The following is a 15749-nucleotide window of genomic DNA, read 5'->3' on the forward strand; positions in this document are numbered from 1 at the left end:
ACTGAGTCTTGCTCTGTCACCCAGGTTGGAGTGCAGTGGCACGATCTTGGCTCACCGCAACCTCCACCTCCTAGATTCAAGTGATTCTCCTGCCCCAACCTCTTGGGTAGCTGTGATTACAGGTGGTTGCCACCATGCCCGGCTAATTGTTGTATTTATTTTGTTCTGAGATGGAGTCTTGCTCTGTTGCCCAGTCTGGAGTGCAGTGGCATGATCTCGGCTCACTGCAACCTGCACCTCCTGGGTTCAAGCAATTCTTCTGCCTCAGCCTCCTGAGTAGCTGGGACTACAGGCGCCTGCCACTACGCTCAGCTAAATTTTTGTATTTTTAGTAGAGATGGGGTTTCACTGTGTTAGGCAGGATGGTCTTGATCTCCTGACCTTGTGATCCGCCCACTTCGGCCTCCCAAAGTGCTGGGATTACAGGCGTGAGCCACTGTGCCTGGCCTAATTTTTGTATTTTTAGTGGAGACAGTGTTTCACCATGTTGGCCAGGTTAGTCCCGAACTCCTGGCTTCAAGCAATCCACCTGCCTTAGCCTCCCAAAGTGCTGGGATTACAGGCGTGAGCCACTGTGCCCAGCCTAGGTTTTTTACAAATGAGAGTCTATTTCAGCCCTTTTTGTTATCTCACCTCCTAATCCTAAACCCCCTGCAATGGGATTTTTTTGTATTTATCTCTCCAGTGAAATTCTTGCGGACTGATTATCAGAGATTCCCCAGGCAAGAGGGAGATTAGCCAAGAGCTGAACAACAGAAGTAGAAAGTTCACAGTGCCGTAAAGCAGGGCTGCTTAACTTGAGCACCCATCAGAATCACCTGGGGATCACTTCTGGGTCTTCTGGCTAAATGCAGAATTGCCTGGGAGGCTTGTTAAAGCATTACCACTGGGCGCCAGTCTTTGATTCAGTAGGGCTGGTTTGGAGCTCAGAATTTGTATATCTAAGTTAACTAGGTGCTTGTTGTAAACTGCACTTTTTTTTTTTTCCCAAGAGGCAGGGTCCTGCCCTGTCTACCAGGCTGGAGTGCAGTGGCACGATCATAGGTCACTGCAGCCTTTAACTGCTGGGTGATTAAGCGATCCTGGAGACCACACTTTTGAGAATCACTTGCATAAAGTGTTGGGACATGATCTATGCCTATGGCTGCTCATTCTCTATGAAAATATTTCTTAATCATAACTTCAATTTTTGCTTTTTACCAAACCCAAACAAGGTTGCCTTTGAGTATTTTCTCGTGGTTTCCACCTAGAGAGGGAATGGGGGAACGTGCGTATTTGAATAAGACGGGAAAAAGATGAGAGGGGCAGCTGGGGACTTGTTCTTCCACCTCCTGCAGACAATCAGTGGTTAAATGTTGTTGTGCTTTGCTACAAATACAAGCATTTTTTTGTGGGGAGGGAGTAGCAATTTGTAAGGTTAGTTAATTTCAGCTGCTCAGAAATGTTAGGTACTGTTTATAGTTTATAAAGCAAATTAACAAATAAAAAATACATGTCCCTAAAATATCAAGCTATGAAAGTGTTCATAACAGATACTTCTTCATTATTCCTCTCTTCTTAGTAGCAGCAAAGGTTTAAGATGATTGAAGCAAGGAAAACTTAAAGGAAACTTTCTCAGCTTAATTGGGAGTTTATGGGCAGTGGTGGTGGTGGGGCGGGGGCGGTAAAAACTGCCATTCTCCTCTGCACTAGAACACTTAAGCCCAGTTCACAAAACAGAAGCCATCTCCAGGAGTAGAGTTTGGGAAAAAAAAAAAAAAAAAAAAACAAGAAAAAAACAACTTATATGTAAGGCAACCTCAGGGAGACAGAACCACAAAAAGAGGATTTTAATAAATTTTCTAGCAGATATGACATCCGACAGATTATTTTAATGCAAAGCAGATGAAGAACTACCCTATGAGTCTAAACTACACCCATTCACCTTTAATCATTTGGATCCCTTAATCCTCTAATCATGGGATCATTAACATTCAAATATCCTGGAAGATTGGCTTATCTGTATTTTAAAAGGAAGCCGGACCTATAGTTTACGTCAGTTCTTTGACCATTCGTTGGAGCTCCGGTTTTCAGCCTCTTTCCGGGCTACCTGGTAGCAATTTGAGGCTCTGTCATCAGTTTCTGCTACGTTTCAAAGATCCTGGAGAAGCCTAGTGTTGTGTCAAGACGCCGATGGACCCATCACAGTTTAATCCAACCTACATCCCAGGGTCTCCACAAATGCTCACCGAAGAAAATTCCCGGGACGATTCAGGTAAGCCAGATAATGCCCTTCTTGACTATCTGACTATAGGGGGGTTGGGAGGTCAAAAGGCTGCCGTCTTTTTTTTTTTTTTTTTTTTTTTTTTTTTAATGTTGACTTCAGTCTTTGCAAGAGGAATGTATTTAGGTAAACCTCAAACCAGAGGGAGTCAACACAGAGAGGTCAAAGACTTTATTAAAAGCGGTGATGGTGGTGGTGAGAAATGTATTATTTTATTCACTATGCTTAGGAGTACTTCAGATTTCTTTCTTTTTTTTTCTTTTTTTTTTTTTGAGACGGAGTCTTGCTCTGTCGCCCAGGCTGGAGTGCAGTGGCGCGATCTCGGCTCACTCCAAGTTCCGCCTCCTGGGTTCACGCCATTCTCCTGCCTCAGCCTCCCAAGTAGCTGGGACTACAGGCGCCCGCCACCGCGCCCGTTTTTTTTTTTGTATTTTTGGTAGAGACGGGGTTTCACCGTGTTAGCCAGGGTGGTCTTGATCTCCTTACCTCGTGATCCGCCCGCCTCGGCCTCCCAAAGTACTGGGATTACAGGCTTGAGCCACTGCGCCCGGCCAGTACTTCAGATTTCTAAGACCAGTTTCTGGGGATAAATAATTGGAATCACAGAACGCGGCTCGTAGCGTCGTTGCATCAGTATCTTCCCCAACAGCAAATACATGTCAGGAACGGTAAAAAGGAACAAATACAGAGACCAAATAAACAAAAGATAGGGAAAAAAAATGAAACAATATGAGAAACTTTAACTTCAGTTGAACCTAAAGTTTTTCTTAATCTCTCGCCAACATTATTTTTATTTATATATTTTTTTGAGACGGAGTCTCTGTCGCCCGGGCTGGAGTGCAGTGGCGCGGTGTCGGCTCACTGCAACCTCCGCCTCTCGGGTTCAAGCAATTCTCCTGTCTCAGCCTCCAAAGTAGCTGGATTACAGGCATGTGCCACCACGCCCGGCTAATCTTTTGTATTTTTAGTAGAGACAGGGTTTCACTATGTTGGCCAGACTGGTCTCGATCTCCTGACGTCGTGATCCGCCCACCTCTGCCTCCCAAAGTGCTGGGATTACAGGCGTAAGCCAGCGCGCCCGTCCTATTTTTATTTTTATTTTTATTTTTGACAGTGGGTCTCTCCATGTTGCCCAGGCTGGTATCGAACACTTGGGTTCAGTCCATCCTCTTGCGTAGCTGGGACTGCAGGCGTGCGCCACCGAGTCCGGGCTCTAAGCCAACATTTTTGAGACAGGCTTTCCAGCTAAATGTTAATAAACAGACTAACAGCTTCACTGGGAAAATGGAAGGGAGAGGCCGTAAACGTGCTCCGTAATGTAAATTAGTAGCAGGACCTCCACCGGAGGGCGGCTTATCTAGAAACTGCTTGGGTAATTCTGCTCCCTGATAGGCCGGGTCTTCCGGTGGAGAACTCCTTTCTTACAGCAGCACCCAAGCGCGGGCTTGGCCACAGAGGCCCTCCACGTGGTTTGAAGTCTTATTTATGACCCTGACAGCGGGGCTGGGTGTCTAGGGTGGTGGCGGCAGAAACCCTGGAGCCAACACCTTCGACTGCCCGATGCTGGGAGGTCTGGGAACTGGGCCGCTGGCGCGCTGACGCCCTCTGCGCCTGGTCTTAGCTGTGTCCCCTGCGTCCAGAAGAAAGAATGCTGGTCTATATATCCGAGTGGGAAAGAAAAATGAACGTACCCCCAGTCTCTCCCTTTCCTTGCGTCTGCCTTAGTACCTCACAGTTCCACAAAGGATCCTCGTTTCTATGTGCACAGGTCCCTAGACTTTGAGAATCGATCTCGAACTTTGATATTGTTTAATACTTTCACATATAGGGGGCAAAAAACAAAACAAAACACACATACACGGGCAGTTAACGATAACCTTCTTATTGTATGAGATATGCGTATGTATGGGATACGCCTCACAGTTCGGATGGGAGAGACGAGAATGAGTGGTTGATTTCCCAAAATAGAGTTTGAGTGAAGAGATCTAATACCATGAAGGAGCTGGGCAACTAAATTAGGGCTAACTGGAGAGGGTAACAGCCACTTACTTCGACTGCCCAGTTTTGCTTAAGGATGAGGATTCTGGGAGAAAATAGTATATGGGTTTTTCTTGTCTCTTTCACAAGATTCCACAGAATGTACGGTAGGTAATGCTTGTGAGATACTCAGTGGATCTCTTAAGTGTAAGTGAACAAAGCTAGCTCAGGGCAGCGTGTGGGACACGCTTGTAGCGCCAGCTACTCTGGACGCTGAGGTGGGAGGATCCCTTGAGCCTGGGAGGTAGAGGCTGCAATGAGCCATGATAGTGCCACTGCACTCCAGCCTGGGTGACAGAGCAAGACCCTGTCTCAAAAAATAACAGTCTACCATCCTGGCTAACACGGTGAAACCCCTTCTCTACTAAAAAATAGAAAAAAATTAGCCGGGCATGGTGGTGGGCGCCTGTAGTCCCAGCTGCTCGGGAGGCTGAGGCAGGAGAATGGCGTGAACCCGGGAGGCGGAGCTTGCAGTGAGCCGAGATGGCGCCACTGCACTCCAGCCTGGGAGGCAGAGCGAGACTCCGTCTTAATAATAATAATAATAACAGTCTAGAAAACAAGGGATTACAGTCATCCCTCGGTTATACTCTGGGAATTGTTCCAGGACATCCCCAAAATCTGTAAGTGATCAAGTGCCACAGTGGGCCCTGCGAAACCTTGTGAAAAAGGTTAACAGTGTGTGTGGGGATTTCGAATTTTGTGATTGGTTGGAAAAAATTCTCGCGTAAGTGGGACCCAAAGTTTAAACCCGTGTTGTTCAAGGGTCAACTGTGTTATCATGTGCCCCTGTACAAGTGACTTCTTCCTGCCTTGACTTTCCTTTTTTTTTGAGACGGAGTTTTGCTCTTGTTGCCCAGGCTGGAGTGCAGTGGCGCAACCTGAGGTCACTGCAAACCTCCGCTTCCCGGATTCAAGCGATTCTCCTGCCTCAGCTTCCCGAGTAGCTGGGATTACAGGCATGCACCACCACCACGCCTGGCTAATTTTGTAGTTTTATTTCTATTTTTATTTTTATTTATTTATTTTTTTGAGACGGAGTCTTGCTCTGTCCCCCAGACTAGAGTGCAGTGGCGCGATCTCGGCTCACTGCAAGCTCCACCTCCTGGGTTCACACCATTCTCCTGCCTCAGCCTCCCAAGTACCTGGGACTACAGGCGCCCGCCACAACGCCCGGCTAATTTTTTGTATTTTTTAGTAGAGAGGGGGTTTCACCGTATTAGCCAGGATGGTCTCGATCTCCTGACCTTATGATCTGCCCGCCTCGGCCTCCCAAAGTGCTGGGATTACAGGCGTGAGCCACCGCGCTGGGCTAACTTTGCGATTTTTGAGAAAAGACTAGAGGTTGTGCGTTGTTTACTGTGACCTTCCACCCTGAGGAATTTCCCACACAGCGCCCTGTTCCCCTGCTTAAGGGCAGACCTAGTTGATGTGTGAATGTTGAAGATCCCCTTAATGTAATGGCTTTTAACCTTCTCTTTCAGGGGCCTCTCAAATCTCCTCCGAGACGTTGATAAAGAACCTTAGTAACTTGACTATCAACGCTAGTAGCGAATCTGTTTCCCCTCTATCGGAAGCTTTACTCCGTCGAGAGTCTGTAGGAGCAGCAGTCCTCAGGGAAATCGAAGATGAGTGGCTTTACAGCAGGAGAGGAGTAAGAACATTGCTGTCTGTGCAGAGAGAAAAGATGGCAAGATTGAGATACATGTTACTCGGCGGAGTTCGTACGGTATGTTGATGTGATGTGGCCGGGGCTGTCCAATTCCGGAGAGTGACACTCATAAATTAAGACCTAATTAAGACTCCCTAGCTCTAGGCCCGGTGCGGTGGCTGAGGCCTGTAATCTGAGCACTTCGGGAGGCTGAGGCAGGTGGATCACCTGAGGACAGGAGTTCGAAACCAGCCTGGCCAACATGGTGAAACCCTGTCTCTACTAAAAATACAAAAAGTTAGCTGGGCCTGGTGGTGGGCACCTGCAATCTCAGCTACTTGGGAGGCTGAGGCTAGAGAATTGCTTGAACCCTGGAGGCGGAGGTTGCAGTGTGCCGAGATTGTGCCATTGCCCTCCAGCCTGGGCAACAAGAACAAAACAAGCGTCTCAAAAAAAGACTCCCAGCTCACGTCTGTAATCCCTGCACTTTGGAAGGCTGAGGTGGGAGGATCACCTGAGCTCAAGGAGTTCCAGACCAGCCTAGGCAATATAAAAAATTAATAAAATCAGCCATCTCTACAAAAAATTAATTAGCTGGGTGTAGTGGTGCGTGCCTGTAAGTCCCAGCTGCTGTGGGGTGGGTGGCTGAGGGCTGAGGCAGCTGGATCACTTGAGCCTGGGGGGTTAAGGCTGCAGTGAGCCATGATTGCTCCACTGCAATCCAGCCTGGGCAACAGAGAAAGACCCTGTCTCAACAAATTCCCTAGCTTCTCTCCCTTATATAGATGTGTAATATTAGTAATCTTTTTCTTGATAGTTTTCAATAAACATATTTTTTTCCCATGAAGCATGAAAGAAGACCAACAAACAAGGAGCCTAAGGGAGTTAAGGTAAGTATAATTTTTTTCTTTTTATTTTCCTTTTTTTTTTTTGGCTATATATGTGGATGGGTATCTGGTTTGTTTCCTTTTGCCGGAATAGGGAATTAGGGAATTTGCTTGGACTTTCTGAATCCCCAGGGACTCTGGATAAGTCAGTTCATGTTTGTAGTTTTTAAAAATATATTCTTTATTCTTTATTTTTCAGAGAAGTTTTATGTTCATAGCCTTTCCCCCACACCCCACACATGCCGCCTCTACTGTCAACGTCACACACCAGAATTGCACACTTTGCAGCTGATGAACTTACCCTGACAGGATTATCATCCAGAGTTCATAGTTTACACTAGGGGTCACTCTTGGTGTTAGGTTGATACTTTCACGTGCTGTCACAAATATCTTCACGGTAGCACTGTATAGTAAGAGGACAAACACTTCAGCAGAGTGTCTAGTAGCAGAATGAGTTACATTTAAGGCATTCAGAGAACGGAGACTAGAATGTTTTATTGACAGTCTGCACTTGTTACCATTACAAAATGACCCACAAGCTGCCATTCTGTGGTACCCATATTTTGATCTTTTTTTCTCCTAAAATGTTTTGCTTTTGGCCCGTGTGTCCTTTTTTGTGTGTGTTCCCTGTTCCAACACTTACCAAAATAAACAACATTATAGTTGAGGGCTTATTACATTTCTCTGGGGTACAATATTCCAATTAATCCATTTCATCATTTTTTTTCAGAAGGAATCAAGACCATTCAAATGTCCCTGCAGTTTCTGCGTGTCTAATGGATGGGATCCTTCTGAGAATGCTAGAATAGGGAATCAAGACACCAAGCCACTTCAGCCATAAATCTTATTCTTGCACCTTTTTTTCTTGGTAGTAATTTTATATAGCAGGTTGAGAAAGCTACTCTATGCTAGTATAGACTATACACCAATAATTTTGATAATGAGTTCTAGGATGTATTTTTCTTGTATCTTTTTCTTCCTACTATGATACTAGTAATTCATAAGGGATCTGTGTAATCTGAATGTATTTGAATAACTTTAGCTCTACTGTTTGATTTGACCCAAAGAAGCCAAGATGATATAAGTATTCCCATGTGTCTTAGAAGCCCAAAGTCAGTGAGATGAAACCCAACATCAAGAAATTGAAGCAAAGTTACTTATGGATAAAGAAAGCATTAGGTAGTTGGGCTATAGCATAATTAGATTTTCTGGCTTTCAAAAATTTGGATTGCAATCACAGCAAACTTTGTTATTTTTACAGTTTTCAGTACAAAAGTGTTTATATAGAAACAATAAAGTTGACATTTGAGTACCTTTTAAAAATTGTTCTTGATTTTATTCTTTTTCTTACTAACAATTAGATGAACAATAGTTTTATTACATTTCTAGAATGTAAATATCTGGCATTCTAATATTTTATATCTTCCCACTGGGAAGAAACTTCATTGTACATTTGGGTGAGATTGGAAAACACAGGCACAGATAGTTGCAAATATCAACTTCCCATTAGAGATGTGAAAATTGGAAGGAGGTAGAACAGAAGTGGAGCTTACTACGTTGTTGATAGGAAATATGCAGGGGTCCTCACACCAGGCAAGCAATTCTTTTTTGTTTGTTTGGTTTTCTGAGACAGTTTCGCTCTTGTAGCCCAGGCTGGAGTGTGATGGCACTATCTCAGCTCACTGCAACCTCCGCCTCCTGAGTTCAAGCGATTCTCTTGCCTCAGCCTCCTGAGTAGCTGGGATTACAAGCACCTGCCACCACGCCTGGCTAATTTGTGTATTTTTAGTAGAGACAGGGTTTCACCATACTGGCCAGGCTGGTCTGGAACTCCTGACTTCAGATGATCTGCCTGCCTTGGCTTCCCAAAGTGCTGGGATTACAGGTGTAAGCCACGGCACCTGGCCTCCAAGCAAGCAATTCTGCCATAGATATCAGCTGGGTGTCTAATTCAATTCCAGCACTGTCTACCTGGAAATAGCTCCAGATCTTACAGGTTGAAGGCTCAGTCCCACAAGACTGCCTGCACTTCTAATGCTAATCACAAGCTTCAGGTTGTCTTACCTGTGCTTTTGACTGACCAGCTACAAATCAGGGTTCCCTCGACCCCTTGCTTGAGTTTGATTAATTTGCTCTAGTGGCTCATAGAACTCAGGGAAACACCTTACTTATTGTGAAGGATATTACAAAGGATACAGATGAATAACCAGATGGAAGAGATGCATAGGGCGAGGTATAGGAGAAAAGACAAGCAGGGTGAACCACCCTTAAGGAGTGTGAAACTGTCCAGGAGCCCTCAGAACTCCTTTTGTGTTTTTAGGGAAGCTTCATTAGGTAGGCATGATTGATTACATCACTGGCCATTGGTTTATCAACTCAACCTTCAGCCCCTGTCCCTTCCCCTGGAGGTCCCGGAATGGGAGTGAAACTTTCAACCCTCCAATCACTTGGTGGTTTCTCCTGGCAACCTGCCCACATCCTGAGGGTATCTTGGAGCCCCCAGCAAAGCAGTCACCATTAGCATACAAAAGTTATCACTCCAGAGATTTTGAAGATTTTAGGAGCTATATGACAGGAAATGGTGACTAAGAACAAATATGTTTTATAATATCACAGGGAGAATTGGAAAGGATATCTGCATGATATGTAATAACCCAAGAAGATGCTATCCAGTGATTTCTTTGTGGTTTTTGTTTTGTTTTTTGAGATGGGGTCTCACTTTGTTGCCCAGGCTGGAGTGCAGGACCACACTGCCAAGTTTGGTCATCAGAAGTTACCCCACTGAAGAACTAAATTTAACATGGTCTACCAGCAAGGACAAATGTGGGGCAGATTGAGCATTGGTTATATTTCTTTTTTTTTTTTTTTTTTTTTTTTTTTGAGATGGAGTTTCACTCTTGTTGCCCAGGCCGGAGGGCAGTGGCGCAATATCAGCTCACTGCAACCTCTGCCTCCCATATTCAAGCAATTCTCCTGCCTCAGCTTCCTGAGTAGCTGGGATTACAGGCATGTGCCACCACACCCAGATAATTTTGTATTTTTTAGTACAGATAGGGTCTAACCATGTTGGTGGTATCGAACTCCTGACCTCAGATGATCTACCCACTTCAGCCTCCCAAAGTGCTGGGATTACAGGCATGAGCCACTGTGCCCGGCAGAGCATTTGTTATAACTTACAAATCGTTCCTAGTAGCAAAGCTAACTTTTATTATTTTTCTGTATGAGCTTGAAAATCACTGACTAGTTAAAAAAGGCAACTTATTTTTATTGCAATCATGTTAAATTTGTAAATTAATGAAAACATTAATTCTACATGTCACATGTCCTTTCGTATTCTTTTGAGATGCAGTCTCGCTCTGTCACCAATGCTGAAGTGCAGTGGTGCCATCTCTGCTCACTGCAACCTCCACCTCCCAGGTTCAAGCGATCCTCCTGCCTCAGACTCCCAAGTAGCTGGGACTACAGGCGTGTGCCACCACGCCCAGCTAATTTTTGTATTTTTAGTAGAGACAGGGTTTCACCATGTTAGCCAGACTGGTCTCGAACTCCTGACCTCAGGCAATCTGCCTGCCTTGGCCTCCCAAAGTACTGGGATTATAGGCATGAGACACCGCGCCTGGCTAGTATTTAGGTATATTTTTAAACCTTTCTATAATAATATCTTCCTTTCATGTATTTCCTGCTGAGAGCATCAGTTCAAGTTGCCCTGAATCTTTATGCTCCCAGTTTACATTTATTGAGTGCTAGGCATTATTCTAAGGATTTTACGTGCATTAGCTTATTTAAACCTCAAAACTTCTGAGATAGGTCACTTTCGGTGTCTTCATTTTACAGAAAAAAAAAAGCACAAAAGTAGTGAACTTGCTCAAAGTTACATAAGAAGTGGCTTATCCGAGATGGAAGTCAGCTAAGCCAAGTCGGTACTTTCTTCTTTTTTTTTTTTTGAGATGGAGTTTTGCTCTTGTAGCCCAGGCTGTAATGCAATGGTGCAATCTCGGCTCACTGCAACCTCCGCCTCTTGGGTTCAAGCAATTCTCCTGACCTCTCCCCGTGTCGGCTTCCCAAAGTGCTGGGATTACAGGCGTAAGCCACTGCGCCTGGCCCAAGTCGTACTTTCTACAGATATCTTCCTCTTCAGATTATATTATGGTGTGTTAAAATATTGCCATTACATTTTTCAACTGGTTGTAATATATGAAAGTTGTTTTTTTTCTATATTTACTTATTTGAGCCAGGGTCTCTCTCAGTTGCCCAGGCTGGGAGTGTAGTGAGGCTTGGCTCACTGCAAACTCCACCTCCCGGGCTGAAGCAATCCTCCCACCTCAGCCTTCTGAGTAGCTAGAACTACAGGCATGAGCCACAATGCCCGGCTAATTTTTTGTATTGTTTGAGGAGACAGAGTTTCACCGTGTTGCCCAGGCTAACGCTGTTAATTTCTCTATTTGCTGTTCACTCAACATTTTTTGTTTTACTTTAAACTTTTTTTAAAAAAATTTCAAACTACATAAAGTTGCAAGCTTAAGCTCATAAACCTGTGTGTACATTTTACCTAGATACAACAATTGTTAGCATTAGCCACATTTCATTTAACATTCTATATTTTCTCTTTTTAAACAGATATTTGAGAGTAAATTTCAGATAACACTTCATCCCAAAATAGTTTGTGTTTTCTTAGAACAAGAATATTGACTTATATAACCACAGTAGAAGGATAAAATTCAAGAAATTTATGGCCAGATGTGGTGACTCATGCCTATAATCTCAGCACTTTTGGTGGCTGAGCCCAGAGATTTGCTTGAGGCCAAGAGTTCGAGACTAGCCTGGCAACATAGTGAGATCCTAGTCTCTACAAACAAAAAATAAATTAGTCAGGTGTAGTGTTGGGGGCCGGGGGGAAGATGTGGAAGGGATAGGAAGCGGGAAAGGGGTAGGAAGGGATAGGAAGGGAGGAAATGGGCTAGAGGACCCCAGGGGTTCAAAAGGCAACTTATTTATTTATTTATTTATTTATTTTGAGGCAGAGTTTCGCTCTTGTAGCCCAGGCTGTAGTGCAATGGTGCAATCTCGGCTCGCTGCAACCTCCGCCTCCTGGGTTCAAGCAATTCTCCTGCCTCAGCCTCCCGAGTAGCTGGGATTACAGGTGCCTGCCACCTCGCCTAGCTAATTTTTGTATTTTTAGTAGAGACGGGGTTTCACCACATTGGCCAGGCGGATCTGGAACTCCTGACCTCAGGCAATGCGCCCACCTCAGCCTCCCAAAGTGCTGGGATTACAGGTGTAATCCCAGCACAGGCACCACGCCCGGCCCAGAGTTTATTTTTGTATTTCTGCTGGCCCACGCAGTCCAGCCCAAAGGGCCTATGGCCCAAGGCCCCACAATCAGGCCCCAGCGGTCACCAGCTCTGGTCTTGGACCAGCCCTTGGTGCCCACCTGTACCCCCACCTCACCCATTTGGTCACATGCACTGGTTGTCACTTTACTACAGCTCATTCCTTCCCAATAAAAGTTTCTGTGACTTAAAAAATATACATATATTTTTCTATATGATGTTAGATAGGGGTCCTACTTAATTCTTTTGCATATGGTTATCTAGCTGTCCAAGCAACATGTGTTGAAAAGACCATTCTTAAAAAAATAAATAAATAAATAAAAAATAAAAATAAAAAAAGACCATTCTTTCCCTATTGAGTTGTTAACAATCAATTGACTATTAATGTGAATGTTTATTTTTGAATTTGCTTATTACATTGATCTATACATTTGTTTATTTATTTATTTATTGAGATGAAGTCTTGCTCTGTTGCCCAGGCTGGAGTGCAGTGGTGCGATCTTGGCTCATTGCAACCTCCGTCTCCTGGGTTCAAGCGATATCCTGCCTCAACCTCCCGAGTAGCTGGGACTACAGGTGTGTGCCATCACGCCGGGCTAATTTTTGTATTTTTAGTAGAGACTGGGTTTCACCATGTTGGCCAGGCTGGTCTTGATCTCCTGATCTCAGGCCATCCGCTCACCTTGGCATCCCAAAGTGCTGGGATTACAGGCGTGATCCACCTCACCTGGCCTGATCTATATGTTTGTTTTTATGCCAATATCACACTGTCTTGGTTACTCTTGCTCTGTGGTACATTTTGAAATCAGGAAGTGTGAGTCTTCCAACTTTATTCTTCTTTTTCAAGTTGTTGAGACTTTATTAATTTAAAATATTATTAGGCCGGGCAAGGTGACATAAACCTGTAGACCCAGCTACTCCTGAGCTGAGGAGGGAGGATCATTTGAGGCCAGGAGTTCGAGGCTGTAGTGCCCTATGATCACACTGTGAACAGCTGCTGCACTGCAGCCTGGGCAACATAGTGAGGCCCCTTCTCTAAAAATAAATTAAAAATAGGCTGGGCACAGTGTCTTACGTCTGCTCTCCCAGCACTTTGGGAGGCTGAGGCAAGAGGATCACTTGAGCCCAGGAGTTTAATGCCAGCCTGGGCAACATAGCTAGACCTCATCTTTACAAATAATAAAAAAAATTAGCTGGGTGTGGTGGTGTGCACCTGTGGTCCCAGGTACTTGAGAGGCTGAGATCACGGCCCTGCTTGGGCAATAGAGTGAGACCTTGTCTCAAAAAATAAAAAATTGTTATAAGGATACTTTGGTTTGATATATCACTTATCAAATTTGTGCTGTGCCATAATGAGATTTCTCATATGCTTGTGGGCTTTTCTCTATTCTTTTGAATTCCTTATAAGATTGAGGCCAGGCACAGTGGCTCATGCCTGTAATTCCAGCACTTTGGGAGGCTGAGGCGGGTGGATTACCTGAGGTCAGGAGTTCAAGACCAGCCTGGCCAATGTTGTGAAACCTCATCTCTACTAAAAATACAAAAATTAGCCGGGCATGGTGGCGGACGCCTGTAATCCCAGCTACTCAGGAGGCTGAGGCAGGAGAATCGCTCGAACCTGGGAGGCGGAGATTGCAGTGAGCTGAGATCACACCACTGCACTCCAGCCTGGGCGACAGAGCAAGACTCCATCTCAGGAAAAAAAAAAAAAGAGAGATTGAAAATTAAGTTTATCTTAAGATCCATTATTTTTCAAAACAGTGAGAGTCTTGGCCAGGCACAGTGGCTCACGCCTGTTATCCCAACACTTTGAGAGGCGGAGGCAAGGCAGGTGGATCACCTGAGGTCAGGAGTTCGAGACCACCCTGGCCAACATGGTGAAACCCCGTCTGTACTAATAATACAAAAATTAGCTGGGCGTGGTGGTGCGTGCCTGTAATCCCAGCTACTCGGGAGTGGGACGCAGGAGAATCACTTGAACCCAGGAGACGAGGTTGCAGTGAGCCGAGATCACGCCATTACACTCCAGCCTGGGCAACAAGAGTAAAACTCCATCTCAAAAAAAAAAAAAAAAAAAAAAAGGTGAAAATCTAGTAATAAATATCAGGAAGAAATGGTGTGTGTAACTTGCTAAATGAGAGGTGGTAGATGAGATCTTTCCTATTTCCTGGTTACCAGGACCCATAGTCACATTTTAGTTTCAGAGTAACTCCAGCTCAGTTTCCTTCCTGCAGCGTTTGCTAAGGGACACCGTTTTGTAAGATCAGACACAAGAACGTTTTTCACTATCAAAAGTAGGCTAGCGATAGGATAAGAGAGTACATTTGGGAGAATGCCGACCTTATGTTACTGATTCCTATCTGCTTTATCTTTTTTTGGGAAAGGGCAGGGCATTTTATATGTACCCCCTCCTCCTTGCAGGATCAGATGTGACCAAAGTATCTTTGCCCACAAATAAAACTGGAGCTGGTGATTACATCTAATCTAATTGCTGAGCCATTGAACCAGCAGAGAGCCTGATAGCCAGGCCTGATGCTGCCGGTTGGTGAGAAAGGAGCGCAGGGTGATGCTAGGCAGAGTGTCTGCAAACAGCTGGCATTCCCACCATTTGGTGACGCAAGTACAGTTCAGAAAGTGGGTGGAACACAAACCATCTTGTAAGTAACCACCCATGACCTTCCCCCAACAAGGGACTGCTGGATGAGAATTCCCCAAAAGCAAAAGGTTGTGGGGATGGAGTAAAAGTTTAAGCCTCAGTTCCATTTTTATGACAAAGGACTGGGCAGAGACCAACACCCATAGAGCTCTCTAAAATCCAATCAATGCAACCCCATGAAACAGCCAAGTTTTAGGCCATTGCCACAGAGAGGAAACTGATGGCTGGTCAGTGTTGAGAATCCAAAACCACCCCTGACTATCACTGGAATGGGAGAGCTTTGAATCAAGTATAATTCAAACATTTAAAGTGAACATTTACACGTCAAGTATATATTTTATTACAAATTACTTTTTCATTATAGAGTATTATATTTCTAAATTCTAAACTTAATAACTGAAAGGTTTTTTTAATTTTTTTCTTTTTATTCATCATATCCAACCCCAATAAACTGGTTTTTTAAACATTTTTTATTTTTTTGAGGCAAGGTCTTGCTCTATAGCACAGGCTGGAGTGCAGTGACATGGTCATATCTCACTACACCCTCAACCTCCCAGGCTCAACTGATCCTCCCACGTCAGCCTCCTGACTAGGTGGAACAAAAGGCACACACCACCACACAGAGCTAATTTTTAATTTTTTTTGTAGAGATGGGGGTCTTGCTATGCTGCCCAGGCTGGTATCAAACTCCTAGGCTCAAGCGATCCTCCTGCCTTGGCCTCCCAAAGTCCTGGGATTACAGACATGAGCCACCATGCCTGGTCAAAAGTGTTTCAGTAACTGAAAATGACCCAAATATCGTGGAACTGGACTAATATTTCATTAATGAAGACCTGCTACGCTGGAAAAAAAGGGTTTCACAGACCCCAACGGTAGCAGGTATTGAAATCAACAAAACAATTTCACATTTATATCTTAGTTGAGT

The 15749-nt window shown here is 44.5% G+C and overlaps 1 protein-coding gene across 1 annotated transcript; it reads left to right on the forward strand.

Moving 5' to 3' along the window:
• The first annotated feature begins 2034 nt into the window (after positions 1-2034).
• On the forward strand, positions 2035-8161 carry DPPA3 (developmental pluripotency associated 3). Its single transcript, NM_199286.4, has 4 exons — positions 2035-2254; positions 5785-6029; positions 6800-6841; positions 7569-8161. The coding sequence occupies exons 1-4, from the start codon at positions 2173-2175 to the stop codon at positions 7677-7679; spliced, it is 480 nt and encodes a 159-aa protein (NP_954980.1). The 5' UTR covers positions 2035-2172; the 3' UTR covers positions 7680-8161.
• Positions 8162-15749: the final 7588 nt, after the last annotated feature.

This window comes from Homo sapiens, chromosome 12 (genome assembly GCF_000001405.40).
Source record: "Homo sapiens chromosome 12, GRCh38.p14 Primary Assembly".
Lineage (NCBI taxonomy): Eukaryota > Metazoa > Chordata > Mammalia > Primates > Hominidae > Homo > Homo sapiens.

Bases quoted from the DNA above. Each gene is read 5' to 3' on its own strand.
- DPPA3 (NM_199286.4), top strand. From the start codon at position 2,173: ATGGACCCATCACAGTTTAATCCAACCTACATCCCAGGGTCTCCACAA. The intron at 6,030-6,799 runs GTATGTTGATGT...TTTCCCATGAAG, and splicing joins TACTCGGCGGAGTTCGTACG to CATGAAAGAAGACCAACAAA. The intron at 6,842-7,568 runs GTAAGTATAATT...ATTTTTTTTCAG, and splicing joins AGGAGCCTAAGGGAGTTAAG to AAGGAATCAAGACCATTCAA.